Source organism: Homo sapiens, chromosome 3 (assembly GCF_000001405.40).
Source record: "Homo sapiens chromosome 3, GRCh38.p14 Primary Assembly".
Taxonomy (NCBI): Eukaryota; Metazoa; Chordata; class Mammalia; order Primates; family Hominidae; genus Homo; species Homo sapiens.
In genome coordinates this window covers 133,778,362-133,805,579 of record NC_000003.12, presented here as the reverse complement: position 1 = coordinate 133,805,579, position 27,218 = coordinate 133,778,362, and the positions used below count along the sequence as shown (strand labels likewise).

General features: G+C 40.6%; 2 protein-coding genes and 1 long non-coding RNA gene across 6 annotated transcripts in view, besides 2 other annotated features; 1 reads left to right on the top strand and 2 right to left on the bottom strand.

Moving 5' to 3' along the window:
* Positions 1-21,557, bottom strand: part of SRPRB (SRP receptor subunit beta) — a 44,552-nt gene extending 22,995 nt beyond the window's left edge. Inside the window, exon 1 of the mRNA NM_021203.4 lies at positions 21,436-21,557. The gene's annotated coding sequence lies outside the window, so the exon portion shown is untranslated. The remainder of the gene's footprint in view (positions 1-21,435) is intronic.
* Positions 4-113: an enhancer, noted in NCBI's record as "active region_20555". NCBI's record gives its function as "activates an Ori minimal core promoter by ATAC-STARR-seq in GM12878 lymphoblastoid cells {active_cell/tissue: GM12878}" and the evidence as "EXISTENCE:reporter gene assay evidence [ECO:0000049][PMID:35858748]".
* On the top strand, positions 97-21,441 carry LOC105374116 (uncharacterized). 2 transcript variants are annotated; one of them, XR_924513.3, is made up of 3 exons: positions 97-492; positions 10,164-10,303; positions 21,357-21,441. It is a non-coding gene; the product is annotated as an uncharacterized LOC105374116 (long non-coding RNA). The 2 variants fall into 2 exon arrangements; XR_007096109.1 differs by lacking the exon at positions 21,357-21,441 and adding an exon at positions 17,434-17,529.
* TF (transferrin) overlaps positions 8,939-27,218 on the bottom strand; it is a 134,644-nt gene continuing 116,364 nt past the window's right edge. For all 3 annotated transcript variants that reach the window (NM_001354703.2, NM_001063.4, NM_001354704.2), the window contains one exon: positions 8,939-26,994. In NM_001354703.2, coding sequence (NP_001341632.2) covers positions 26,960-26,994 — 35 coding nt within the window. In that variant the 3' untranslated portion in view covers positions 8,939-26,959. The remainder of the gene's footprint in view (positions 26,995-27,218) is intronic.
* Positions 9,934-10,518: an enhancer, noted in NCBI's record as "NANOG hESC enhancer chr3:133513906-133514490 (GRCh37/hg19 assembly coordinates)". NCBI's record gives its function as "activates a minimal SCP1, AML or CMV promoter by ChIP-STARR-seq in primed H9 embryonic stem cells {active_cell/tissue: H9 hESC(primed)}" and the evidence as "EXISTENCE:reporter gene assay evidence [ECO:0000049][PMID:30033119]".

The window sequence follows — 27,218 nt, the reverse complement described above, 5'->3', positions numbered from 1 at the left end:
AAGAATGATGAAATGAATAAAATGAATGAATGGCTCCCGAAACTACCACTGAGGAGTTCCCGACCGTCGCTAAGTGACGTGAGACTTGTGAAGAACTCAAGCATCCTACAAACATTTAATCTGAATTTAATGTGACAAGGGATGTGACAGATGGATGTACGGAGCGATGTGGGAATACATAATGGGACGCGGAGTCCATCATGAGTTCAGAGAAAAGCTTCTGGACATTGGAATTGAGTCCTGAAGAATGAGTTAGCATCTGCGAGTGGTTAAAGGAAAAAAAGGTGCTGTGCAGAAGAAAATGAGTGTAAGAAACGATGTATGTGGGAACCCTAAGTAATTCAGTGCCCCTACACTGTCAATCTAGGGCTGCAAACTCAAATGTCTGCATTAAAGGAAGCAACTAGGAAAATCAACGCCCAGGAGAGCTGGGGCTGTTGAAAACTGCAGGAGGTATTTCTGCTGAAAGTAGGGCCGACCCTATTCAGCCAGGTAGGTGTTATGGGACCTGGGTGGCCGGTTCTTCCAGTTTTCAAGAGAAGCAATAAAGGCAGATTTTTATAGGAAATTTTCCACTTTTGAAATTTTCTGTAGGTAATTGAAAGCATTCAAAAACTTGTGGCCCAAATAAAACACCAAAAGTGGCCAGCCTAGAGGGTCCCAGTTCACAGTCTCTGTCATTAAACAGCTGTCATTGTTTTAAAATGTACACATTATTTAATTTAATTGTATGGCTGAGTAGAGACATGAAGATGTCAGTGTCACTGAAAGATTGAAAAAAGTTTATTACAGTTCCACATTGCCATTGAAAAAGTTGTCAGCATCAAAATGGAGTCACTTGTATTTTTTTTTTTAATCAGAAAAATGGAGCTGGTGAAAGGCCATGGAGGGAGGGTTCTCAGGCACCCATGCCTGATGACAAAAACTGTCACAAAAGACTGCAAAAACCACAGACTTGCACAAAGGCCATCGCAACCTTACACACAAAAAAATACATCTGTTAGGACGGCTACCCAGCAACTCCCTGTCCAACCTAGTACTGATGCCATCCTTGCCATTTGATCCTTGTAGCCAAGGATAATTATCTTAAAACAATTATGGAATCTGACTCATTTTTTCTTTAAAAATCTTTGTCTTCCTTTACACCCCCCTGAATATGCACATAGTTGACTATGGCATGCGTAGTCCCATTGCAATGCCTATTCCAGAATAAATATTATTTTCTTTTAGAGCGTCCCTCTCTGCTTGTTATTTAGCTTGATACCACTCAGGGCCACACAAAACCTCACCATGCACAGGGACAAGGAAAAAGAGAGGAACTGGGGGAGGACCCGGTGACTCACAGCTATTAATCCCAGCGCTTTGGGAGGCCAAGGCAGGAGGATTGCTTGAGGCCAAGAATTCAAGACCAGCCTGGGCAACATAGTGAGACTCTGTCTCTGCAAAAAACATTTTCTTTTTTCTTTTTTTTTTTTTTTTTTTTTGAGACAGAGTCTCGCTCTGTTGCCCAGGCTGGAGTGCAGTGGTGCGATCTCGGCTCACTGCAAGCTCCGCCTCCCGGGTTCACGCCATTCTCCTGCCTCAGCCTCCCGAGTAGCTGGGACTACAGGCGCCTGCCACCATGCCCGGCTAATTTTTTGTATTTTTAGTAGAGACGGGGTTTCACCATGTTAGCCAGGATGGTCTCGATCTCCTAACCTCGTGATCCACCCACCTCGGCCTAAAACATTTTCTTTAATTAAAAAATAATTAGCCAGGCATGGTGGCATATGCCTGCAGTCTCAGCTACTTGGGAGACTGAGGCAGGAGCGCTTGAGCCCAGGAATTCCAGGTTACCGTGAGCTGTGATCACATGCCACTGCACTCCAGCCTGGGCAACAGAGCAAGACCCTGCCTCCAAAAAAAGGAAAAAAAAAAAAGGAACTGGGACTCTTCCTTTATTACTAATGTGTCAGCGAGTAGCTAGATAGAGATGTTTTTGATTGGGCAAGAAGCGAAACACAGATGTTAAGGGTTGTATTAGGAAGATTTGCAATATGATTTAGGCACACCCTCAAAAGCCAGGCCACAGGGGAAATGTAAACAATGTTGGCTGTTAGTTTGGCCTAGTGATCAACAGATGCCAAATCATCAATTATAAAATCTATAAAAATTGATTAGAGCAGTAATTTAAGTAGGAGTGACAGGAGATGAAGCTAGAAAGGTTGGCAGGAATCAGACCAGAAGGGATTTTCTGTGCTATGTTGAGGAACTTAAGAGTTTGTCCAGAATGCAATAAGAAGTTTCATTTGGGGATCGCTTCTCGGCCTTTTGGCTAAGATCAAGTGTAGAAGTTTCATTTGGGGTGACATAGATAATTGACAGATCTATGGAGGACTATGACTTGAGAGGAAAAAAAAAACTTCAGACAGAGAGACCAGCTGAGAGCATTTAGGCAAAAGATGCAGTATTTAGGCAAAGGATGCTCAGAGTCTAATACAGAGACAGAAATAGGTATGAAAATGAGAGCACAAATTTGAGAGATGTCTGAGAGTTAAAATACGTAGGATGTGATTAGTTGGATATTGTGAATTAAGTAAAAGGAATGTTATCAAGGCTGCATCCTAGGTGGTGGGTGTGGGTGACTAGGAAGATGAGAAAGCCATTAAATGAATTAGGGACCTCAACGGGAGAGGGCTTGGGGCTGTGGATCCAACGTAAGAGTAGCCAGAATGAAAATTGTCTCTTTTCTATATGTTGAGTTTTAGGTGCTTCTGGGAAATCTAAAAGCTTATGTCAAGCAAGTGATGAGTAAACACAAATAAAGTTCCACAAGTATATACTAGATTTTCATTTGGGAGTCAGGAATAAATAAGTGGTCATTAAAATCATGGAGAACATGAAGAATGAGGAAAGGAACCCACAAAAAAGCCTAAGAAGGAAGAGTCAGTGGCACAGGAGTAAAACAGACATGTCCTATAAGTGGTCAGTAGCATCTTCTGTAGCAGAGAGGCTCCTTTGACAAGGCTTTGAATGAGTCTGAGCTCAAGGGGATAAGCAAGGGATGGGGCAGTGTGGGGATGGAAGCAAGACTATGGTGTATGGGGAAGACAGTGGGGCATGAAGATAGTTTCTAATGTTAATGAGCACTTCCTGGTGCCAAGCATCATTCTAAATACTTTTAATTTTTTTTTTCAGGCAGGGTCTCACTCTGTTGCCCAGGCTGGAGTGCAGTGACAATAGGGCTCACTGTAACCTGGAACTCCTGGGCTCAAGTGATCCTCCTGCTTCAGCCTCCCAAATAGCTGGGACTACAGGCACAAACACCATGCCCAGGTAGTTTTTTTATTTTTATTTTTGTAGAGACACAGTCTCTCTCTGCTGCCTGGGCTGGTCTTGAGCTCCTGGGCTCAAGTGATCCTCCTGCTTCAGCCCCCCAGAGTGGTGGGATTACAGGCACAAGCCACCACGCCCTGCCTAATGTATTAATTTGTTTAATTCTCACACTGACTCATTTTCTAATTTTACAGAGGGGAAACTGAAGCAGGGTTGAGTAACCTCCCCAAGGATATATAGTAATGAGCAGACTTGGGACTTCATCCCAGGCAATTGGGCTTCTATCTACTTAACCGTATGCTTTAACATAGTAGGATTCATTTTCAAGGCATTTTTAATTGATAAAGGTAGGCGATAGGAACTCCAGATCAAGGAAGGACGGTTAAGATGTGAGGCTTAAGTAAGTAAACCAACTACTTTATTTTAAATTACCAATTTCAAAAATATCAGAACTGGCAGCGGTCATGCCACATTCCATTTCTCTTATTTCTTATGGTCCTAACCGCTGCTCTGTATTCACCACCCAAAACACACGCACACACCCCTTGTATAATATAACCACTGATTCCTCTTTAGAAAAATCACTGGATATTACCATTAGACCTCCTGACTGGGGACCAAAGATGCAGGGAAGAAGGAAGAGCCAGACACGGAGAGTTCCAACCGTAACTGTCTTAACTCGCTGAGGATATTTGGTCAGAGCTATGTGAATGAAGAGGGCTGCCGTGGTGGTGAAGTTGGGAAAGGAAGAAAAAAGGTTCAAGAAAAGAGACTTTTTTTCTTCAGTATGTTTCCTGGGCAGAAGAAATGTGCACAGCTCCCACACTCAGTGAGAAGTTAGCACTCCCATTCTCAGGAATGAGCAGGAGGGGTGAGATTAGTTGCTTCCCTGTACTCACCCATCTCCATCAGGAGCTCCGTGGGCACGAATGCAGAGGAAGGACATGCGATACTGACTGCTGCCTGCTGATAAGTTTTTAGTTCTTGATTCCAATAGCAGATGGAAAGTTACAATGAAACCAGTTGTAGTCAGGGAATTTTTCTCTTCTCTTCCATAAACTAAAATGTCCCATTCACCAGACACCTTCTTCCATCCGCTCCCCAAAGCTCCAATGTACAATGGAACATACCTCAGACCTAGGGATACCAATCATGGGATTCCCCTGCTATGGCTTTGTTTAAAAAAACGTTTAGAGGATTTTTAAAAACAGAATTTAACACATGCTTATTATATTAAAAACTCAAGCAATAATGAAAGCCACAAATCACCTCTATTTTTCTACCTATAGTATCTGATAAATATTTAAGACATTCCTCTGTACATATGTACTAATAAGAAGGCTGTATGGATAAGAGCAGTAAATACAAACGAACACGTTATTTTTAAAGAGATTATAGTATGCACCTCTGTATTCCCCATCCCTGAACAGTACTTGGCTCATGGGAGGCACTGGTCAACTGTTGAATGAATGATCCCAGGCCTACTGTGTCCATTGCTGTGCCCCAGGCTCCTGTCTGACATCCTCCTGCTTCACATCCCTGCCTTAGCGGGTTTGAGGACATGTCACCCTAGCCTACCAAATTTAATTTCTAATTTTAGCTTCTCAGAAAGTAGAATCTGCTGGTAAGAATAATTACATCTGAATAGAGGCACCATTTAGGATTTTCTCTAACATCATTCAATATTCTTCGTCAGATACAAGTAGGATCAGTCCCCTATATCCATCAGTCACACTTAGTCCACAGACATCTGGCCAGGCAGCTTGGGCAGCTCCCTCCAGTCCCTTAAAGGATGGAAGGGGAGAAAGGTGAGTCCACTGGAAACACAAGAGGTCCTGACAAAGAGCTCCACTTCAGAGCTGACTCACTCACTTGATTGCACCATATCTAAGCTTATTCAGCTCTGATACTTTGGACAGTCCCACAGCATACATTGTACAATGTAATCATTCATTTTTCAGGTGTAGGCATAGGGAAGGTCTGGCTCTATACCAAAACTGCTGGCTCTTAGCAGGCACCCAGTTTGCACTTATTTAAATGACTTGATCTGGGAAGGAAACACCCGGAGGTCCTAGGTGGTCCCTATCTGCTGATGGAGCAGCACAGAGAACAAATGATGTCTTAACCTTTTGAGACCAAGGAGGGGGATTTAAGGCCAGGCCAGATTACAGCCCTGAGCCTCAGTCATAGGCTGCCTGGTACTACAGAGGAACAGTGCCACACTTCTAGGTTCGTCCCTGGGGGAAGAAGGAAGATGATGTCAGCCACAGCTGTCCTGGCTTTACTGAAAGCGTGCTGTCATTACTGCTCGCTGGCATGTGGAAGTGCACATGCTGGCGTTACAGTGACGTAGATGAGAAGAGGAACCATGGTGTTCTACAAGGGAACATTCCATTCAACTTCTGTTCATCCTTCCCAGCCTTTTCCACCCAATGGCACTTTTTCCTTCACATTCAAGGATAACTTTTTGTCTGTTAAACACAGAAGGGGTCTCTTCTACTTCTAAATCCTTCTTGATATTAACAGAATCTAGCTGGGACCTTTGGAGAATTATCTGGGCATACTTTCCTTAGACCTTAAAATACACAATTGCATAATACCAGGAACTGCAAAATTCAGATTATTTTACTATTAAACTTCTCCCCGAGAGCCACTTGAAAAAAGTAATTGAGGTAATAGATCTTCATTTTGAGAAGTTGAATGGTACATAAAAATGCAAAATTAAAATAATTATTTTTTTCTCTGTCCTTCCAAGGCTACTGCTCATATGTAACTGTCCTTTCACACACACGCAAGCATATATGTTCATGTTTTTATTCAAATATATGATTATATACTATACATCTGATTATGAAACTTGTTTTACTGAACCACCTTTCCCCAGCAGTTCATATAGCTCTACTGCACTCTCTGTAAATGCTGCAGAGTATCCCAGTGTTTAGATATATCCTAAATCACTGTGGTCCTCTAATGATGGAAATTTAGGATTTCATTTTTTCACCTTATTATAAACACCCTGTGAGAGTACTTCCATGGGATATATTCCTAGAAGTGCAATCAAGAATAAAGGACATATGTGTTTGAAGTATAATAGATTTGGCGAAACATCCCTCTAGAGAAAGATTTCTCCAATCTAGAGTCACATCAAAAGTAGTAACCGTAACTGTTTTCTCTATTCCTTTCCCACCTCTGGGTATTAGTAGTTTTTCTTTAACTTTAGCTGATCTAAAAAAGTGCATGTTCTCATGCATTCTATTTCTTTATGAGTGAGTTGCTTCAAATTTTAGATGTGTGTTGGCTCTATGTGTGTTATCTAGTAACTGTCTCTAGTATTTTTTGCCTATTTTTTATCACAATGTTCATCTCTTTTTTAATGTTTTTAAAATATCTTTTATTTTTAAAAAGCTAACGTGCATTTTAGGAAACTGGAAAACACATGAAGCAAAGAGCAAAGTCATCCACAATCACAGGCAGTTTACAGTTTGACTTGTCCTTCTAGGTCCTGTGTGTGTATAGACAACAACATCCAAATTTATGGGATTGAGATCATGCAATTTTATGTGTCATGCTTTTTTACACATCATGAATATTTACCAATTCAAAATCCTAAAGCTATATGAGTATTTTGATAGTCAAGAAAACACTACACCAACTCAATCTATTAGGAAAAAATGTAATCCTGCCTTTCTTGGAACAAAAATTTTATAAAAGACAAAAATGGCATCATACCTTGAGATAAAAGCATTGGCAGAGTTCCAATTAAAATACTGCATTCCCTTAATGTTCAATTTAAAATGAAACATAAAGCAACAGAATACACTAAGTATAATGTTTCTAAGAGAATTCATTAGTAGTTCTATGCCATGAAAATATTAGCAAGAAGGCATATTTTCACTGAATTACTTAATGTATTCCTATAGTACAGCCGAAAGAGATGCACATACATCAGTGGCTATCATCAAAATGTAAATGTATATCTGCATATATCTCTCCCTTTATGCTTCCTTTTGCCCCCCTGCTGCCAACTTAATGAGCAAGTCCTGATATACACTGCTCAGTGGTGGTTTAACAATTCCATGTCCAATATGCATCTTTTCTATCAATTATAACAAAAAGATATTTACAAATTGGCTAATTCGCTAGCTCTACTTTTAATCATACATTGTCTCCTCAGGACATTCATAAAGGTTAAGTGTTCCAAAAAATAAACTTTGTCCACAATAAATGCAGGCACTTTACTAAAATGCTGTTAGACCTATGGCTGTTATCTCACACTATCTTCTGGATACCGAGATACTAGCAAAAAGCCCTTCCCTTCACCCTTCCCCTTCTCCCTCTTCTAGCATGCCAGTGACTAAGTACAGGACTATGTCTAGCTCCAAGGGGTGGATTAACAAAGATTACTCCCAGAAGGCAGGTCTTCCTAAAAACTAACAAAAGGACATTTATAAAGGGATATTTTACTACCTCCACTTTTAAACTACCTTGAGCATTAAGACTTGTTTATTCTTTAAAACACACCAATATTAACTAAAATTCACATACAGAACAATGGCTAGATCATCTGAACTAATCTAACTCACGGGCCCAGAACCCTTCTCCCTGCATACCTCCTCCTCTTCCCACCTGCCGACACCTGATGAACAGTCAGCATCAAGTTTAAAAATTCCATTCTCAAATGCAACCATCCCTAGGAAATAACACCAACCACAAAAATGCATAAAGGGTGTTACTTTAGCCCTCTATTTTTAATCTATATTGTGCACTTTTAAACATCTAAGAAGACTAGGTGTTTTAAATAGGACTTGAGTTTTCCACTTTATACACAGTAGCATTGAATAAATGGTGCACATACAAAGCAAGGCTATAATTTGGATGTGTCTTCTAAATAGGAACATGGCCTAAAGCCCTTCCCCTTCCTATCTCTATCAATCCAGTGGACAGGTATAAACATCTGTAATGCTTAGGGGGGATTTTAACAATTCTACTTTTGAAGCATTTTTAAGAACAATCTTTCCTATGAATTTTTAACACAAAGTGTACTCAATGTATTAGTTTACTAACTCTAGTTTTGTTATATGCTGGCAATCTCTTTAACATCTAGAAAGACTAGATGTTATAAATTAGGACACCATCCAATGTTATGCAATTGGGATCATACAGTATGTATCATGCTTTTTCACACATCATGAATATTTACCAATTCAAAATTCCAAAGCTATGTAAATGTTTGTTTGTATACACAGCAAAGTAAAAGGAAATGCAGATATAAGGGACAACAGTCAATTGTGTCATACTGTAAACACACTGATATAAAGCCCTTTGCACTTTCTTCTGCTCCTTCCTCCCTGAATCAGCATAAATATAATGTGAAGTGGTTTGATCAATTTCCAAAAGACAATGTTTCATATGAATCAAAAGGATATCTACAAAATGTGTTATTTACTACCTCTACTTTTAACATACTGTGTGCACTTCTAAACATCTAGAAGACTAGATGTTTCAAATAAGGACTTAATTTTGTCCACTATATGTCCAGTAGTGTTACTACTGGAGGGTGTCCAGGTTCTTGGCTTCTTGAACAAATAATTGGACAAAATGCACAAACAAAGCAAGGAAAGAATGAAGCAACAAAAGCAGAGGTTTATTGAAAACAAAAGTACACTCCACAGGGTGGCAGAGGGCTTGAGCATAGGGGCTCAATAGCCCGGTTACAGAATTTTCTGGGGTTTAAATACCCTCTAGAGGTTTCCATTGGTTACTCAGTGTATGCCCTATGTAAATACAGAAGACATTTCCCATCATAGCTGAAGTGTTTCCATTTGATTTAGTTCTAGGAAGTGAGCATGCATCTGCCTTATATTCCTTGCCTACAGACCCTATTCTTCTGCCTCATTTCCCTCCAGAGATGGGATCCCCATAAATCTTTATGGGAGGTGGAGGGGCCGATGGTCTTTCTTTTGTAACTGCTTCATGTTGGCTTGAGGCCTAGTCCCTACCTATTGAGGATCACAGAAGTCCTGCTCTGCTCTTTCTAGTGAAGGCAGGGTAGCTCCTTGATGGCCAGGGGTGGTGGAACTGGATGAAACTTTTGTTGCATGATCATCTGAAGCTTGATGGTCTTTTGGCGAGAGGAAATTAATTTGGTTAAAAGATTTAATGGGAACTCAGGGGGTGGATATCTATGCTGTCAGGAATGTTTGTTATAGAGATTTGTAGGAGAAAAACAAAACCTGGCCTGTGGTCTGTTCTAGGATCTATGTGTTTCCTTAAGGTCTTGGCATACGTGACTCCGTTTTGGTTTAGTTTGGTCTGTTGGGGCCTGGCGCATGGGCTCAGTACAAAAAAATGACCTCCCATAATTTTGTTTAAAAAAAATTCCCCTTTTTGGCCAGGTGCAGTGGCTCACGCCTGTTATCCCAGCACTTTGGGAGGCCGAGGTGGGCAGATCATGAGGTTAGGAGATCGAGACCATCCTGGCTAACATGGTGAAACCCCGTCTCCACTAAAAATACAAAAAAATTAGCCGGGCGTGGTGGCAGGTGCCTGTAGTCCCAGCTACTCGGGAGGCTGAGACAGAAAAATGGCGTGAACCCGGGAAGTGGAGCTTGCAGTGAGCCGAGATCGTGCCACTGCACTCCAGCCCGGGTGACAGAGTGAGACTCCATCTCAAAAAAAAAAAAAAAAAAAAAAATTCCACTTTTTTGGTCAGGTTCTCACTTAAGTGAGAGTGTGACCAAAACTTAGGGCCTTACTTAGCACCACTCTCAGTTACCAACACTTTGGGCTTTTGGACTCAGCACATCATTCGTAGGTTACAGTGTCCTCATGGCTGCAATTTCTTTCAGCTCTTGTCATTCCAGTTGAAGAGAGGCCATTTGACATTCTAGAGGTGGCAGCATGCAAACATTTAAAACCGTTGAGAGAATACAGCACACCAGGGAGACTATTATTATGACTATCAGGAGGATAATACCAAGAGTTGAGAGTAAGTATGCTCCTTATCCAGGGTCACCATAAACCAAACCTCCTAAACTCAAATAGATTAAACAATGAGCTAAAGAGTCTACTCACTTAACTAAGCAGTCTCTTCATTAATTTGCTACAACTGAATCTCTATAATACCTGATGTTTTCTCCATAGGCCATGAGTGCCAGCAGCTGCACAGATACTCTTCTGTTTAGCCAACTCTATTATTTAGCATAACTTTCTTAAGATAATTTAGTCTATTATGTAACCATAGCCTTTACAGTAAACTGCTATGGAGCCTATTATGAGGGATACATTTGCCTCTTTTATTCCAAATCATGGAAAAAGGACCTAAAGCTGGCTGCAAAATTCTTCACAAATAAAAGTATAACCCATAATTGTACACAACAGATCCTTTTTCCACTTCTATTCTTCATAGAGGCAAAAGCAAGGAAAAAATATTCAAAGATAAGAGTCTCATGATAATAGAGAAGTCTTGATTCATGATCTTGGGAAAAGCTGTTCACATCAAGGATGCCATCTTCTTCGGGAGAGAAACTTCCCTGGTTAGCTTTACCTTAAGGGTTCCAATGGGTGTACAGTTCCAAGAGTGTGGAGGGACTCTTCTCAGTTGTGAGATCATGAACCCAAAGTTCAAAGTCCAGAAGTTTTGCTGTAGTGTGGATGGCAAGGACAGTCTTTATCCAATGTTTTCAGAAGATACAATCTTCAGTTTCTAGGTTGTGAAGGAGTTGATTGTCCTCAGTGAACCATAAAAAGCTTTCTTTACCTTGTGAAAATACTTGGTGGCATAATAACTTAGTGTTATAACATCAGCCCTCTTGCATGGGAAAGCTTTTATACAACCAGAAAACATGCACTGAAAATAACAATTGAATAAAATCCCTCTATAAAATGTTTAAATGGCCTATCAGGTGACTGGATGTACCTGAAGCTTTGATTGTTTTCCCAGGAATATGGGACCAAACATTGGTTATAAACTATTTTAGCAATTTATAAGTCACCACATCAATATATTCAATTTGGATCATTTTATCTTTTCCGTGACGAGTCATGTAATGCAGAAATTTTACTAACAAAAGCTTTAACGACTTAGGAAGGACAAGGTGGCCATCCTGGTTCTCCATGAGTTCATGCTTAATTAACATTAGACTCATATCCTCTTGAATACCAGTTGTTTCCCCAAATTAGGTGCATAACACTGATAACTGATGGGTTATCATAGGTAATTTGATTTAAATGATGGAGTTTATTCAAATTTTATATCTAAACAGTTTCAGTATCAGCTGATTTAGCATGAAAATCTGGCAAAGTATTTTCTTGGTATTTAATTAATTTTTGTTCTACTTGGGTTAGCAGTTTTAGAACTCAGTCAGTCTTTTCATTAAAGTTCCAGGAATTCTTACCCAGTTCAAATGATATAATTCTAAACTTATTAGAAACCTGTATTCAAGAGTGCTTTTTAGGGTCCTTTCCAATCTTTCATGAATCTCCTAAAAGACACCATATTCTAGGACTTTGCATGCTTGTGAAGTTTTCAGAAACTGCATCAGCATTAAGCAATTAACTGTGGAAATGACTTTAAATAGTTATAGTTAAAAACACAATTGACAAGGAAATTTGGTTATTTCTGTGGTCTACAATAACATAATAATCATAATTATGATTGATAGCATATACTCAGACATATTGGAATTTTAGAAATCTCATACAATTTTGGAACATATATTAATATTATTCACTAAAATATAACCTGAAGAAGATTAAATTTTTTTCTTTTTGACAATGCTTCCCATGTAATTAAACATGTCAAATAATTCTGTTTACCTCTCTTTTGGATGCTTCAGGGGCCCTCTGCAGCATCTCAAAGTTAGAGGTTAGAAAAGACAATTTTGAAGCTGAAATTTGATTTTGGGAAGCCTATTAAATATGTTAAAGATTTAAAACACTTGACATTATGAAATGGAATTCCAGGTTACCATAGTCATTCATTTAGCAAAATGATGACTCAAAAATGTTTTAAAAGGCAAAAACCTTTCCATGTTGATAGATGGAAGACTTACTTTACAAACAATCTGTCTCTTGTCTTTCCCTTCCTTTTTTTTGGTGGGGGGGTAGTTTATTCAAAAGGCAAACAAAGATCTTTCATTATCTTTTAATACTGCATGAAAATCTTGTTCAAGAGAGAAAGCCAAATTTCACCCTTGCATTAGTGTGCTATTAATGTCAACCCCAATTTTTAAGAAAACCTTGTAGACATATCTTTCCAATCTTAATCCGTTTGACCATAAGGTGAGATTCTCATAAACCTTTTATAATCCTTTACAAATGTTTGTTAAAGAGCAGATCGGTGCTTTAAGAAAACCCTGTTTGTGCTTTTATTTTGATGTTCAATTTATGGAAAAACCAGAAAATACCCCTTTAAATTTAGTCAATATGTTCACACACATAATTTTTTACAATATTAATTTTTATAAATCTTCCACAACTCATTCAAACTTTTAGCTTTATCCTAACTTAAAACAATCCTTTAACCCTTTAGACAGAAAAAAAAATCTACATTCCCATGCCTTGTTATAATCTTTCACTGAAAATGCATTCACTTTTCTTACGTAACTTGCATGTAAAACTGTTGCTTCAGTAGTCTCACTTACATGTTACAATGTTAACTCTTAGCGAGTTTTACTTTTGGTGAAAACTTTGGTAAGTTAAGGATTTTAATTATATATTAGTTGTGGAGTCTAGGACCCAGAGAGAAGTACACTTAAGGTCTGACTCCAGCATCTGACTCCACGTGTCTCAGGCCTTACCGAGCTGTAAAGCAGGCAAGTTGTAGAGTTAAGAGTCATAGTGGCATTTTATGAAGCATTTAGGAGGTCTAATCACCGTTAAATTGTATATTTCTTGCATAAATTCTCTTTTGTAAATTATTTCATGACTTACACAGACCATCTACGACATGCTTTGACTTTCTAACTTGTCCTAAACATCCCTCTTTTTTAACAACCGCTTATTTTACTTTAGGACACGAATTTACGATATAAGATCCTTTCTTATATAAAATCTCCTTTCTTTATAACCTTCTTTGCATAGCTAGGGGACATGGCTAATTCTATTTGTCCCCAGGCCTTATCTAGAATCTAATGCTCCAAAATAAATTGAGCAATTTTTAAAAGTCAAAGAAGCGGTTTATGACCTTAAAGCATTTTGCAAATCTAATATCTGACCTGCATAATTTAGACTAAATATTTACATTTTGAAGATATTTTTATTTTACCAATAATCTTTAAAACTGTCTTTATTTCCCAAAGATTACTTAAGTTACATGAAGTAAATAGAAGGCATTACATTTTTTACTTTTCTGATAAAATATTTGATTTAAGCTCTTATTATTATTAAGCTAATTAATTAATGCTCTTTTATAGTACACACACAACACATATAAATACACAGACAGAAGATAAAGGACTCATTCCCTAAGCCAGGAATTGAACCCTAAACCCAGGCTGCCACTGTGAAAAGAGAAAGCATGGCCACATGGTTACAAGGTCAAGCTCCCAAAGACATGACTGACCAGTCTGCTGGTGTGTCTTGAACAGCAGGTCTATGGGGTCCTAAGCACACATTTTATTCTAAGGTACCCCTCTTTATGACAAAACAATACAGAAAGACACAAAGCACACCAGATTCACTACAGCTTAAGATCGGCCTCAGAATTCTTTTTTTATATTAATCAAAACTTTACAGAGGAGATAAACAGTGACTTTTACTATTCATTTATGCAGTTTGCACAGAGAGACAGAGACCAGAGTCTGGCTGGTAAGAAATTCTTACCCTTTTGCCAGTATGCCAGGTTTCTGGGTTCTGTCTCCCAAAGCAGCCCTAGGAACCCTGCTTGACTATATGCAAACAAACACATTGCCATGAATTAAGAATATTCACAAATAGTTTACGAATTTTGGAGAAAATGGGCAGACAGAGAAATATGACTCAAATTCTGTTTATGAAAATATACTCAACACACTTAAAGTATCATAAACAGAATTTGAGTTAGTTCAAGGTTAAAAAGCTGGTGTGCTCCATCAATTCCTGCCAGCCTGACAAAGGTAGCCTAGGAATTCCAGATAAATGGAACAAATGATGACTTGCTAGAAATGCATAGGGAACAAAATAACTATTCACAGAACCAAATAAAAGCCTTCCACTAGAAATTTAAAAAAAATATATATGATTTTATATGTGCATACACAAGCAAAGCCAGAGGAGAATAAATGGCAAACAAATGAAAATTAGAAGCAAAAACAAATAGGAACCCAACCCTAAATTTTTCCTTCTCAATCTACCCTGGAGGCTACAGTGTTTACCTAGGGCCCCCCAAAACCCACATAATGAATATTTTGTTCCTGATACACAATTCAGTATCCTTAAGTTCACCAATATCACCATACATCCTGTGCAATCAAGAAATACACTATAGGCACATAACCAATAAGTACTCCAGTGCCAGCACTATCCACACAAAACAGTAAACAGTGTGAAGCAATGCAAGCATGTATGTGAAATTTGGCTCCACACCAAATCCGGCTTCATGCTTAACTATAGTAAAAAGGAATTGCCAAACTGCCGATGCATTTCTTTACAATGCTTATTTTACTTTTATCAAGACTAACAGCTTTCACTATGAAAATGTTAATTAGCCAAATATCTCCAATTCTCTATCAGGTTTTAAAGAATATTTTATTATCTAAACTTTTTCCATATCGTTCTCCTCTACTTACTGGTTCCTTACTACATTGTTTCATAAGTAACCTTTTCAAATCTGTAATTTGAACTAACTTTTAGATAACTTCTAAATTATTCTTTTTCTCACTAATAACACAAACTTTCTGGCATGTTTTGTATACAGAATTATGTGTTAACTAGAATTCTTATCCTTAGTAACCTAAAACTTTAGTGAAACGCTAAAAAGCTAGAAATCCTGAACTATCAGATATGGGAATTTATAGTTAAGAACAATTCCACAATTTTAGAAACATATTTCCCCATATCACAACCTTTCTAATTGGAAATGGCCCAGATCTTAAATGAGCATCAAAAATGATTTTAAGACTTTACACAAAAAGCTTATCTAAAACATTTGTCCCATTCACTGTACTCAATTGTTTCACTTTTAACAGTTTATCTAGATTACCTCTGTAAACCGAAATGTTAGACACTATCTTTTAAAGTCAGTTATTTCCCTGTTAACCACATTTTGAATAGCCAGGTGTGCACTTAAACCTAAGTAAGAGCCTCAAAGTTAATACATACGTATTTTTGCCAGTAACCCAGAAGATTTAGCTAACATTAAATTATGCTCATTTGTCAAAAAAAAAAAAAAAAAAAAAAAAAAAAACGCAAACGAGATCGTTTTGTTTTGGCTGGGTTTATAGTTTTATAACCTTCTATGCCAAACCCTAACACCTCAAAATATCTAGCAGAGACAAATATAAAACCCAGACAAAAATATATGCTGACAATTCTGAAGGCATTTCTATTTTTACTTCACCAATAATTTTAAAACTAGCCTGTTTAGGAAAGTTATACTTAAGTCATGTGAACTTGAAAATTGCTTCGACTTATTTACTTAATTTATGAGTGCTCTTTTACTTATATGCCAAAACACAACATATAACAAATGTGCAAATAAACACATCTAGACATGTGTATACACACACACAAATGAAGATTCAATAGCTTTTACCTTGGAACCCTAACCATGAGATAGCAATACAAGCTTGCCAATTTTACTTTGTGTACCCAATAAGCAATCCAATGAAGGCTGTGAACTATTATTTCAGGTAAAGCAATTTCCATGGCAGTTTGATTTTTAAAGGCCAAACCTCCCCAGACTCGAAAGAACACTGGGGTCAAACAGCACCAAAGGAGAACATCACATAATAACTAGGCCTGCCCCTGCTTAGAACAGCAGCACCAAAGCCTGGATACATGCAACTGCATCCCGCTTTCCCATTCAACAGCAAATGCCAGAATCCAAACCATATTGGGGCCAAACAGTATTGCAACTGCAAGAGAAAATTCTAAGGAGGGCTTAGTACTAGTCCTTAGAACTGCTGCCAAGGGCATCCCCTTTGGAGAGGTTGAAGTCTGGAGGATCCCCTGGGGAATCCCCCTTTGGGGTCCAGTCTTAAGAGTGTCAGGCATCTCTGACCTTACGTGGGCACCAGTGCCGCTTTGCATATTTTCCCTCCAGAGGCAATTGTGAGCTGTCCTTTGGTTCCTGGGTGTAATCACTGGCGTTTAGCATCCTTATAATTTGATAAGGCCACATTATCCCATGCTTCCTGTTCCACTAGCATGATAGCCATGAACTGTAATGATAGGAAATGGAAGCTGAGTAGGCTTCTTTTGTCCTTAGCCAGTCAAGTAGGGTTTCCGTCGCCTGAAACACATGCAAGTTCACCCTGAGCTGCAAGTTTGCCCTGAGCTGCGCCACACATAGGAATCAGGGACCACAACCAGAAAAGATAGAAAAAAGTCCTTCAGGATGGCCCCACCCAGAAACCTGCGGTTGCCTCCGTGTTTAGGCGCTGCCCACCAAGGGTCCCGAGTTGGAAAGGAAAAAGAGACAGAGGGAGAGATTCCCCTGTATGGAGTGGAAAAGAAAAGATGAAAAATCCCAAACTTTGGGCTTACCTCCTGGCTGCCTTGCCAAAATATGTTACCAGTGGAGGGTGTCCAGGTTCTGGGCATATTGAACCAAGAATTGGACAAAACACACAAAGCAAGGAAAGAATGAAACAACAAAAGCAGAGATTTATGAAATGAAAGTACGCTCCACAGGGTGGGAGAAGGCCTGTGCTTAGGGGCTCAAGAGCCCAGTTACAGAATTTTCTCGGGTTTAAATACCCTCTCAAGGTTTCCATTGGTTACTTGGTATATGCCTTATGTAAATGAAGAGGATGAAATAAAGTTACAAAGTCATTTACTTAGTATACACCCTAGTCATTTACTTGATGTACGCCCTATGTAAATGGAGAGGATGAAATAAAGTTACAAAGTCATTTACTCTGTTGGAGAGTATATGTCCTGTCATAGCTGATGTGTTTCCATTTCATTTATTTCTAGGAAGTCTGCATGAATCTGCTTTATGTTTCCTGCCTCCAGACCCTATTCTCTTGCATCAGTAGGGTTGAATAAACTACACACATGGTTTATCTTAAACTGTCTTCTAAATAGGAATATTCTGATCTAGAATCCTTCATTTCTTCCAGCTCCTCTGCACCACCAACCTGGTGGATATGGGCCCATGTGTCACTTAGGGTTGATGTTATCATTTCACTTCCAAAAGTCGTTTTCAGAAGATAGTCTTTTTATAAACGTTAACACAAAGTGTACAAAATGTGTTACTTTACTATTTTTGTCATACATTGGCAACCTCTTTAGTATCTAGAGAGTGGATATTTTAAAATTAGGACTCATTTTTCCAGTATATAACACAATATGTAGTATAGCAAAGTTACTTGCAATGCATTTAACATATAAGGCAATGGATAAACTGAAATTTTCTAGTACACAATAGCAAAACATCTTTTGTAATTTCTTCCCTCTCACCTTCCTCAACTGAATGAACAAGTAACACTGTTCACAGAGGTGATTTAACAATCCCACTTGCAAACACAGTATTTCCCATCAGTTTTTAAAAGCTATTTACAAAAAGTGTTATTATACTATTTCTACTTTTAAATACATCAAGCATTTCTAACTATCTAGAGAGACCAGATATTTCATATAACTTTCCACTGTGTACATAGCACTGTAAAATAAAATTGCACATGTATCAGTGGCTATAATCGGAGGTATCTTCTAAATATGACAATTTTGACCTTGAACCAGTCCTTCCTCACTCCCTTCTCTCTGTCTTCAATCCAGTGGACAGGTACAGGCATGTGTAACGCTTAGAGATGGCTGAACAAATTCATACCCAAAAATCATTTACAGAAGACAAGCTTTCCTATGAATTTCAATACAAAGTGTGCAAAATGTGCTAATTTTACTAGATACTTTGTCATACACTGGCAACTTCTTAAACATCTAGAGACCAAATGTTGCAAAATTAGGACTCATTTGTCCATTATGTACTCTACATACACAGCAAAACAAAATGCACAAAACAGACAGAAAAATGGCAAGTGAAATGTCCAAGTATGAACACACTAGCATATTACCTTTGGCAATTTCTTCCCTCCCATTTCTAAACCATTGAACAAGTATAGACAGTACTATACTGCTTACAGAGGTGGCTTCACAATTCCACTTCCAAAAGACAGTACTTCCCAAGAATTTTAGCAAAAAGATATTTACAAGGTGATATTTTACTACCTCTACACTTAACATACATCAGGCAATTCTGAACATCTACATAGATAAGATGTTTCAGGTAAGAAGTTAATTCGTCCACTATATGCACAGAAGTCTTGAATAAAGTGAACACATGTAAAAACAGTTATGACTGAGTCTTCCAAGTATGAACATTCTGGCCTACACCTTCCCATCTCCATCAACCCACTGGGCAATAATGCTCAAATTTTCAGAAGACTGTCTTTCCTGGGAATCTTAAAACGAAATGTACAAAATATATTAGTTTACTAACTACTTTTGTCATACACTAGCAACCTCTTTAACATCTAGAAAGACTAGATGTAAAGTCAGGACTCATTTGTCCTTTAGATCCACAATATACCCAGATAAGTAAAACAAAATGCCCAGGCATGAGACAATGGTTAACCTTGCCTCACTATAAGCACATTGGCATAGAGCTCTTACACTTCCTTTCCTCTCTCCTCCCCTGAACCAGTGCACAAACACAATGTGTATTATTAACAGGTGGTTTGGCCACCCCCCCCAACCAAAACAACATTACATATGAATTTTAACAAAAAGATTTACAAAATGTGTTATTTTACTATCTCTAATTTTAACATAGGCATTTCAGAACATCTAGAAAGGGTAGATAGTTCAAAAAATAGTATTGTTTTTTTTTTTTTTTTTTAATTTATTTTTTTATTGATAATTCTTGGGTGTTTCTCACAGAGGGGGATTTGGCAGGGTCATGGGACAATAGTGGAGGGAAGGTCAGCAGATAAACAAGTGAACAAAGGTCTCTGGTTTTCCTAGGCAGAGGACCCTGCGGCCTTCCGCAGTGTTTGTGTCCCTGATTACTTGAGATTAGGGATTGGCGATGACTCTTAACGAGCATGCTGCCTTCAAGCATCTGTTTAACAAAGCACATCTTGCACCGCCCTTAATCCATTTAACCCTGAGTGGACACAGCACATGTTTCAGAGAGCACAGGGTTGGGGGTAAGGTCACAGATCAACAGGATCCCAAGACAGAGGAATTTTTCTTAGTGCAGAACAAAATGAAAAGTCTCCCATGTCTACTTCTTTCTACACAGACACGGCAACCATCCGATTTCTCAATCTTTTCCCCGCCTTTCCCGCCTTTCTATTCCACAAGGCCGCCATTGTCATCCTGGCCCGTTCTCAATGAGCTGTTGGGCACACCTCCCAGACCGGGTGGTGGCTGGGCAGAGGCGCCCCTCACCTCCCGGACAGGGCGGCTGGCCGGGCGGGGGGGGGCTGACCCCCCACTCTCCCTCCCGGACGGGCGGCTGGCCGGGCAGAGGGGCTCCTCACTTCCCAGTAGGGGCAGCCGGGCAGAGGCGCCCCTCACCTCCCGGACGGGGCCACTGGCCGGGCAGGGGGGCTGACCCCCCCCACCTCCCTCCCGGACGGGGCGGCTGGCCGGGCGGGGGGCTGACCCCCCCACCTCCCTCCCGGACGAGGCGGCTGGCCGGGCGTGGGGCTGACACCCCCACCTCCCTCCCGGACAGGGCGGCTGGCCGGGCGGGGGGCTGACCCCCCCACCTCCCTCCCGGATGGGGCGGCTGGTCGGGCGGGGGGCCGACCCCCCCACCTCCCTCCCGGACGGGGCGGCTGGCCGGGCAGAGGGGCTCCTCACTTCCCAGTAGGGGCGGCCGGGCAGAGGCGCCCCTCACCTCCCAGACGGGGCGGCTGGCCGGGCGGAGGGCTGACCCCCCCACCTCCCTCCCGGACAGGGCGGCTGGCCGGGCGGGGGGCTGACCCCCCCACCTCCCTCCCGGACGGGGCGGCTGGCCTGGCAGAGGGGCTCCTCACTTCCCAGTAGGGGCGGCCGGGCAGAGGCGCCCCTCACCTCCCAGACGGGGCGGCTGGCCGGGCGGGGGGCTGACCCCCCCACCTCCCTCCCGGACGGGGCGGCTGGCCAGGCGGGGGGCTGACCCCCCCACCTCCCTAAAAAATAGTATTGTTAACTACATATACAGTCGTGAGAAATAAAATGCACACACAGAACAATGGTTGGAATATGAAAATGTCTTCTAAATATGACCAGTGTGGCACAGAACTGTCCTCTCTTCCTTCTCAGGTCTTCTGCCCCATGTCCTCTAACCCAGTGGTCCCCAACCTCTTTGGCACCAGGGAATGGTTTCACGGAAGGCAATTTTTCCATGGAAGGTAGGGGCATGGTTTCAGGATGAAACTGTTCCACCTCAGATCATCAGGCATTATTAGAGTCTCATAAGGAGCGTGCAACCTAGATCCAGGGGTTGGGGACTCCTGCTCTAACTCACTTAATAAACGTGGATGTGTGGCTCCTGCTGTCACTTCCAGAGGTGGTCTAACAACTTCATTGCAAAAAGTCATCTCCAGAAGCCATTTATGTCCTATTATTATTATTATTATTATTATTATTATTATTATTTTTTTAACAAATGGGAATTTACAAGATGTGTGATTTTCTAACTCTATCATAAGTCACAACCTCTTTACACCTAGAACGGCTCGATGTAGCAAATGTTTTCTTTTAAAAGGCTGGGGGGGAAGTTGAGAGCAGCTTCTTCATAGGATATACACGGGCCTTCTATAAACAGCCAGTAATCTTCCTAAAGGGTGGTGGGCCTTTCCGATGGGCCTAATGGCGCAAGTTATTCTTACACTTCTCTTTTCCAGCACCAGCGTCTGGTAGAAGGAAGACGAGCTGGGCGATGGCCGCTAACCCTACCACCCCTCATTGCCGGACTCCCCTCACCTTCTGGGCCCATTAAGGACTTTGTCGGTTGTCCTCGGGACTAGGTGGGTGTCGTCCACTTGGGACATTGCGGCCACCCGAAGACCCGGATCTGCTCGGCTCCATGGCCTACGGAGGCAGCTGAGCCGCGCGCAGACCAGCTTTCCTGGCCCTCTGCACCCGCTGGTGGCCTCCGCGGCGTTGGGGCCGCCTCCCTGCTTCCCGCCCTGCTATACCTGCCGCCACCCAGGGGCGCTGCGTCCAGGCGGCTCAGCAGAAGCTTCGTCTGAGCCTGGCAGGGTTGGGCGGGGAGACCCTGCAGCCGGCAGGTCGGGGAGGAAAAGTGGTTCGCCGCTGCTTCAAGAAATGGGCCCGGTGGGGCAGCCGCGGCCAGGGCTCCGGGTTCTACCGGGCGGAGGGCCTGGAGGGCCCAGCAGAGCTGTCCGCGCTCACATCTCAAATTCTGTTCGTCTTTTTATACTGATTTCAAAATATAGATTAGCCCTTTGTTCTTTCTTAAAAATCTTCACATTTTATTTGTCTATTTTTGTCTTACAGGACTTCTGAATTTTATATGATCTGAAATTAATATTTTCCTTAATTGCTACTAGGTTTGTGGAATGTTGGAAAATCTAAGTACTATATAAGAAATATGTTAACATAGTAATTGTTTTTACGATTTTAATTTTATATTTAAACCTTTATACGTTTCGAAAGTTTTTACTTTAACCGGTAAGTTGGAGGTCCACGAGATTTTCTTCTGCGCCAAAATTTTCAGCTACTCTGCTTCTAAACACTTCAGTGAGTAGCCTATCTGTCCCCCCCGAGTATAATGCCAGCTTTATCATGTAATAAATTCTCATTTGCATTTAATATCTGGAACTTTTATTCTGCTTCATTATTTCCATGTGACTACCACCCTTTCCAGTCATCATTATACATTTCATTTTTTAAAATAAGCTTCGTTGAATATATTTAAGGTATACAACATGTTATGAGATACATACATAGTTAAAAAAAGATTACTACAGTGAAGGAGGAATCCCAAATAAAGTAGAATTTATTACCTATACTGTGGTCCTTATGTTGTACATTAGATCTCTAGGCTTGTTCATCATGCATATCTGCTACTTGGTTTTGTTTTGTTTGAGACGGGGTCTCCTGTCCCCAGGCTGGAGTGCAGTGGCACGATCAAATCACTGCTCACTGCAGCCTCGACCTCCCAGGCTCAATCCATCCTCCTGAGTAGCTGGGACTACAGGTGGGCACCAGCACTCCTCGCTAATTTTTTTTGTGTGTGTGTGTTTTGTTTGCTTGTTTGTTTGTTGTTGTTTTGGTTTTTTGGGGTTTTTTTTGTTTTTTTTTTTTTTTTTGCAGAGATGGGGTTTTGTCATGTTGCCTAGGCTGGTCTCAAACTCCTGGACTCAAGCAATCTGCCCACCTCTGCCTCCCAAAGTCCTGGGATTACAGGAGTGAGCCACTGCGCCTAGCCCTCCTATCTGCTGCTTTGTATCCTCTGACCTACATCTCTCCACCCTCCTCCACCTCAGGTTTTGTTATCTCTGTATACCTGTATTTGAGTGTTTTCTTTAGATTCCCCATGTGAGTGAAATCGTGTAATATTTTTCTTTCTGTATCTGCCTTATTTCACTTAATATCCTCCAGTTTCATCCATGTTGTGGCAAATGGCAAGATATTCTTTTTAGGGCTGAATAATATTCCATTGTGTGTGTGTGTGTGTGTATACAGTTTCTTTATCCATTCATTCTTCAACAGGCATTTAGGTTGCTTCCCTATATTGGCTGCAATGCTGCAATGAACGTGGGATCACATTTATCTCTACAAGGTGGCTATCTCATTTTATTTGTGTATATCCCCTAAAGAGGGATTGTTGGGTCATATGTAGCCCTATTTTCAGTTTATTTAGAAACCTCCATACTGTTTTCCACAATGGCTGTACATTCTCACCAACAATGCACAAAGGTTTTCTGTTCTCTTCACCCTTATCCACGTTTATGATTAATATCTTTTGACTTTTTGATAATAGTCATCCTATTATTATCTAGTGTCTCATAATGGTTTCAATTCACATTTCCCTTATGATTAGTGATGTTGAACACCTTTTCATATCCATCTTGGCCATTTTTCTTCTTGGAGAAATGTCTTTTCAGGTTTTTGCCCATTTTTAACTGGGATCATTTGTTTTCCTGCTATTGAGTTGTATGAGTTCTTTATCAATTTGTTGTATCTTATTAGATATATAGTTTGCAAATATTTTTTCCAATCCATAGGTTGCCATTTCATTTTGTTGCTTGTTGTCTTTGCTATGCAGAAGCTTTTCAGCTTGATGTAGTCCCATTTATTTATTTTTGCTTTTGTGGCCTGGGCTTTTGATGTGATAGCCAAAAAATCATTGCTAAGGCCAAGGTTCAGGAGCTTATCATTACATTTTAACAGCTGGAAGAGCTCTTCCACTCTCATCAGAATTTTTCTTATCTGTCTCACTTTTGTTTTTTAGTTGAGGATTAGTATCATTTTGTCAAGTTAAAAAATTGTATATTGATTAATTTAGGGAGAATTGACATCTTTACAATACTGAGTCTTCCTATCCAAAGCAATATGTCTTCTTTACATTATTTTTTACTTTGATAAGTGTGGTTTAAATGTAGCTTTTATTAATTTACTAAATGATACATTTTATTTATTCTTGTTAATTATTATTGTCCTAACTCACTATTATTTGTATAAAAGAAAGTTATTTTTTATTTTAATATTTCCTTTCACTTTACTGAATTTTATCTTACCACTTTTACCACTTTATTTATTATTATTATTATTTTTATTATTTTGAGACAGAGTTTTGCTCTTGTTGTCTAGACTGGAGTGCAATGGTGCGATCTCGGCTCACCACAACTTCTGCCTCCCAGGTTCAAGCAATTCTCCCGCCTCAGCCTCCCGAGTAGCTGGGATTACAGGCATGCACCACTACGCCCGGCTAATTTTTATTTTAAGTAGAGATGGAGTTTCTCCATGTTGTCAAGCTGGTCTCGAACTCCTGACCTCAGGTGATCCGCCCGACTTGGCCTCCCAAAGTGCTGAGATTACAGGTGTGAGCCACCACGCCCTGCCTATTATTATTATTTTTATTATTTTCCAGACAGAGTCTTGCTCTGTCACTAGGCTGGAGTGCTCTGGTGCGACCTTGGCTCACTGCAACCTCTGCCTCCCAGGATCAAGCACTTCTCATGCTTCAGCCTCCTGAGTAGCTGGGACTACAGGTGTGTGCCACCAAACCAGGCTAATTTTTGTATTTTTAGAAGAGATGGGGTTTCGCCATGTTGGCCAGGCTGGTCTTGAACTCCTGACCTCAGGTGATCCACCCACCTCAGCCTCCCAAAATGCTGGGATTATAGGCATGAACCACTGCGCCTGGCCATAATACTTTATTATTATTTGGTTCTCATGGATTTCCTAGGTGTATAATCACTTACAAATAAAAGTAATTTTGGCATTTCTTTAAATATTATAACTTATTTTTCTTGTATAATTGGATTGGCCACCTGTTCTAAAACACTGTAAAATAAGATAGATAGTAATCAATTTTTTTCATGTTCCTAACTTTAGTAGGAATGCTTCTGTTTCTTCATCATTAGGTATGTATTAGCTTTTGTTTACATGTATATAAAATTATGGCCAAATAACATCTGTCTATCCTATTTTAGTAACTAATTTAATAATTAAGAATGGATGTTGAATATTTTTGTTTTAGCCCAGTTGTCTAAGACTTCCAGGAATATACCTGTAGTGTAATAAAATTAGGTTTATTGATCCATTGCAATGAGACAGACTGCGTCCCAGGGGAGCCATGGGGTATCTCACCAAACAAAGGAAAAGGCAGAGTTATAGGATTTGGGGTAAGTTTAGGTTAATATTAAATAAGGCAGATCGTTGATAGGCTCAGAGGAAAGCAGGGCTGTGTGTAAAACGGTCCATATCAGGTCTGGACTGCAAAGTGGACCCAGAGTCCTATTTTCTTGAATACTAGACAGTTGAGAGAGGTGTGGAATGTTGTGTCCAGATACCCCTTATCTGCACTTCTGTATTTGAGTATAAGATGAGGCTGTGTTAGGAGTCAGGAAAAGAAAGGAGCCAACTGAAGTTATTTAGAAAGCAAAATCAACAGAACTTGGTGACGCTGGATGTAGTGTGAGGGAAAATGGCGAACTGAAATTTCACCCCTCTATTTATGGCTTATGTGATTGGGTAGATGACCAGGTCTTCAGCTGATATGGAATATACTATAACAACAGTTGGTTTAGGGAAGCAAGAGAGAGAAGAACAGGATGATCACTTCAATTTTTGATTTGTTGGGTTTCTGACTGCTGCAAGACTCGAGTATAGACCCACAGGTAGGTAGTAGGATGTATAAGTGCAGGGATACTGCTGGAGGCTGGGGTCACAGCTATAGATACAGATGCCTAGGAGTCATGAGCATCACTGAAGGAGGGCCTGCAAAGTGAGAGGAGCACTGACCAGATCAAGAGAAAACCCCAGGAAGATTTCCCTAAGGTTTCCAGGCCAGTAGGATGAGCCCACAGTGAAGACTACAAATGAACAGAGAGAGGTAGGAATCAAAGCAGAGACCTGCCATGTCAGAGAAACTGAGGAAAAGAGTTCCAAGGAGGAGGGAGTGGTCAACTTTATCAACTGCAGGAAATGGGCTCAGGAATGGAAGACCTGAATTGGTTTAACAGTTGGCAGGTAGACGGTGACTTTTGCCAGGGTACATTCAGGTAAGTTGGTGAAGCAGAAGACCAAATTCTGTATGTTCAGCCAATAATAAGTGAGACAGAAAAGTCAGCCTCCACCTTACAGGAAGCTGGGCTGAGAAGGGCAGGAGACAGGGCAGTAACTGCTGTGGCATCAAGCTCAGGGAATGCTTTTCAGCAAAAAAGATGTCAGTGTTTCACTTTTTTCAGCTAGTTAGAATCAGGACCTCAGCCTGATGGAATTCATTTAAAATACCAAATAAAGGTAAGTCTTCTGTAGTCTTTCTGTACTCACTTGAGTACTTGATCTCTGTAACTCACTCTGCATCCTCCTTCTTGCCCCTTCCTTAGCATGACACACGCACGCGCACGTGCACACACACACCAGTATACATTTGATTATATTTTAATGATCACGCAGACCCTTTTAGAAAAGATGTCTCCTTGAACTGTACCCAGGAGATGTGGCCATGGCACACACAAAGCTGTAGGGAAAGACCAGACGAATCTTGAGCTGAGAAGGAAGGGCTCAGTTGCATAGGTATTTAGGCAGAATGCATAAAGAAATCCTTTGTTGAAAATATTTAGGAAAGAATGGAGTTTTTGAAATATAAAATCAATAATAATTTTTATTTTTTGTTCAGCACACATGGCAACACAGAGCTGTGAAGACAGACGTGGTTAGCACAAACCACTTGGGCCAGTGAAACCAGGGCAAACTCATGGATCATCTGCGTTCCCATCTTCACCTTGGTGGCAGCCCTACCTCTGAGATTTTAAGGTCTACGGAAAGTGCAGGCTTCCAGGAGTGCTGTGGAGCAGAGCAGAGAGGTAGGATTTTCAAAATCTTCCTATATTTATTTCTGAACTGTCGAGTGATTGAACAATTTCAGCATAGTACAAAGTGTGCAGACTTGCTGCCTCCTCTTCTGTGAACTGGGCCGTTCTCCCAGTGCTCTTTTCTACTTGCCTGCACAGCTCCTGTGCCTATCCTGGGGAGTGCCCCACGCCAAAGCTGTTAACATGATTTTCCTG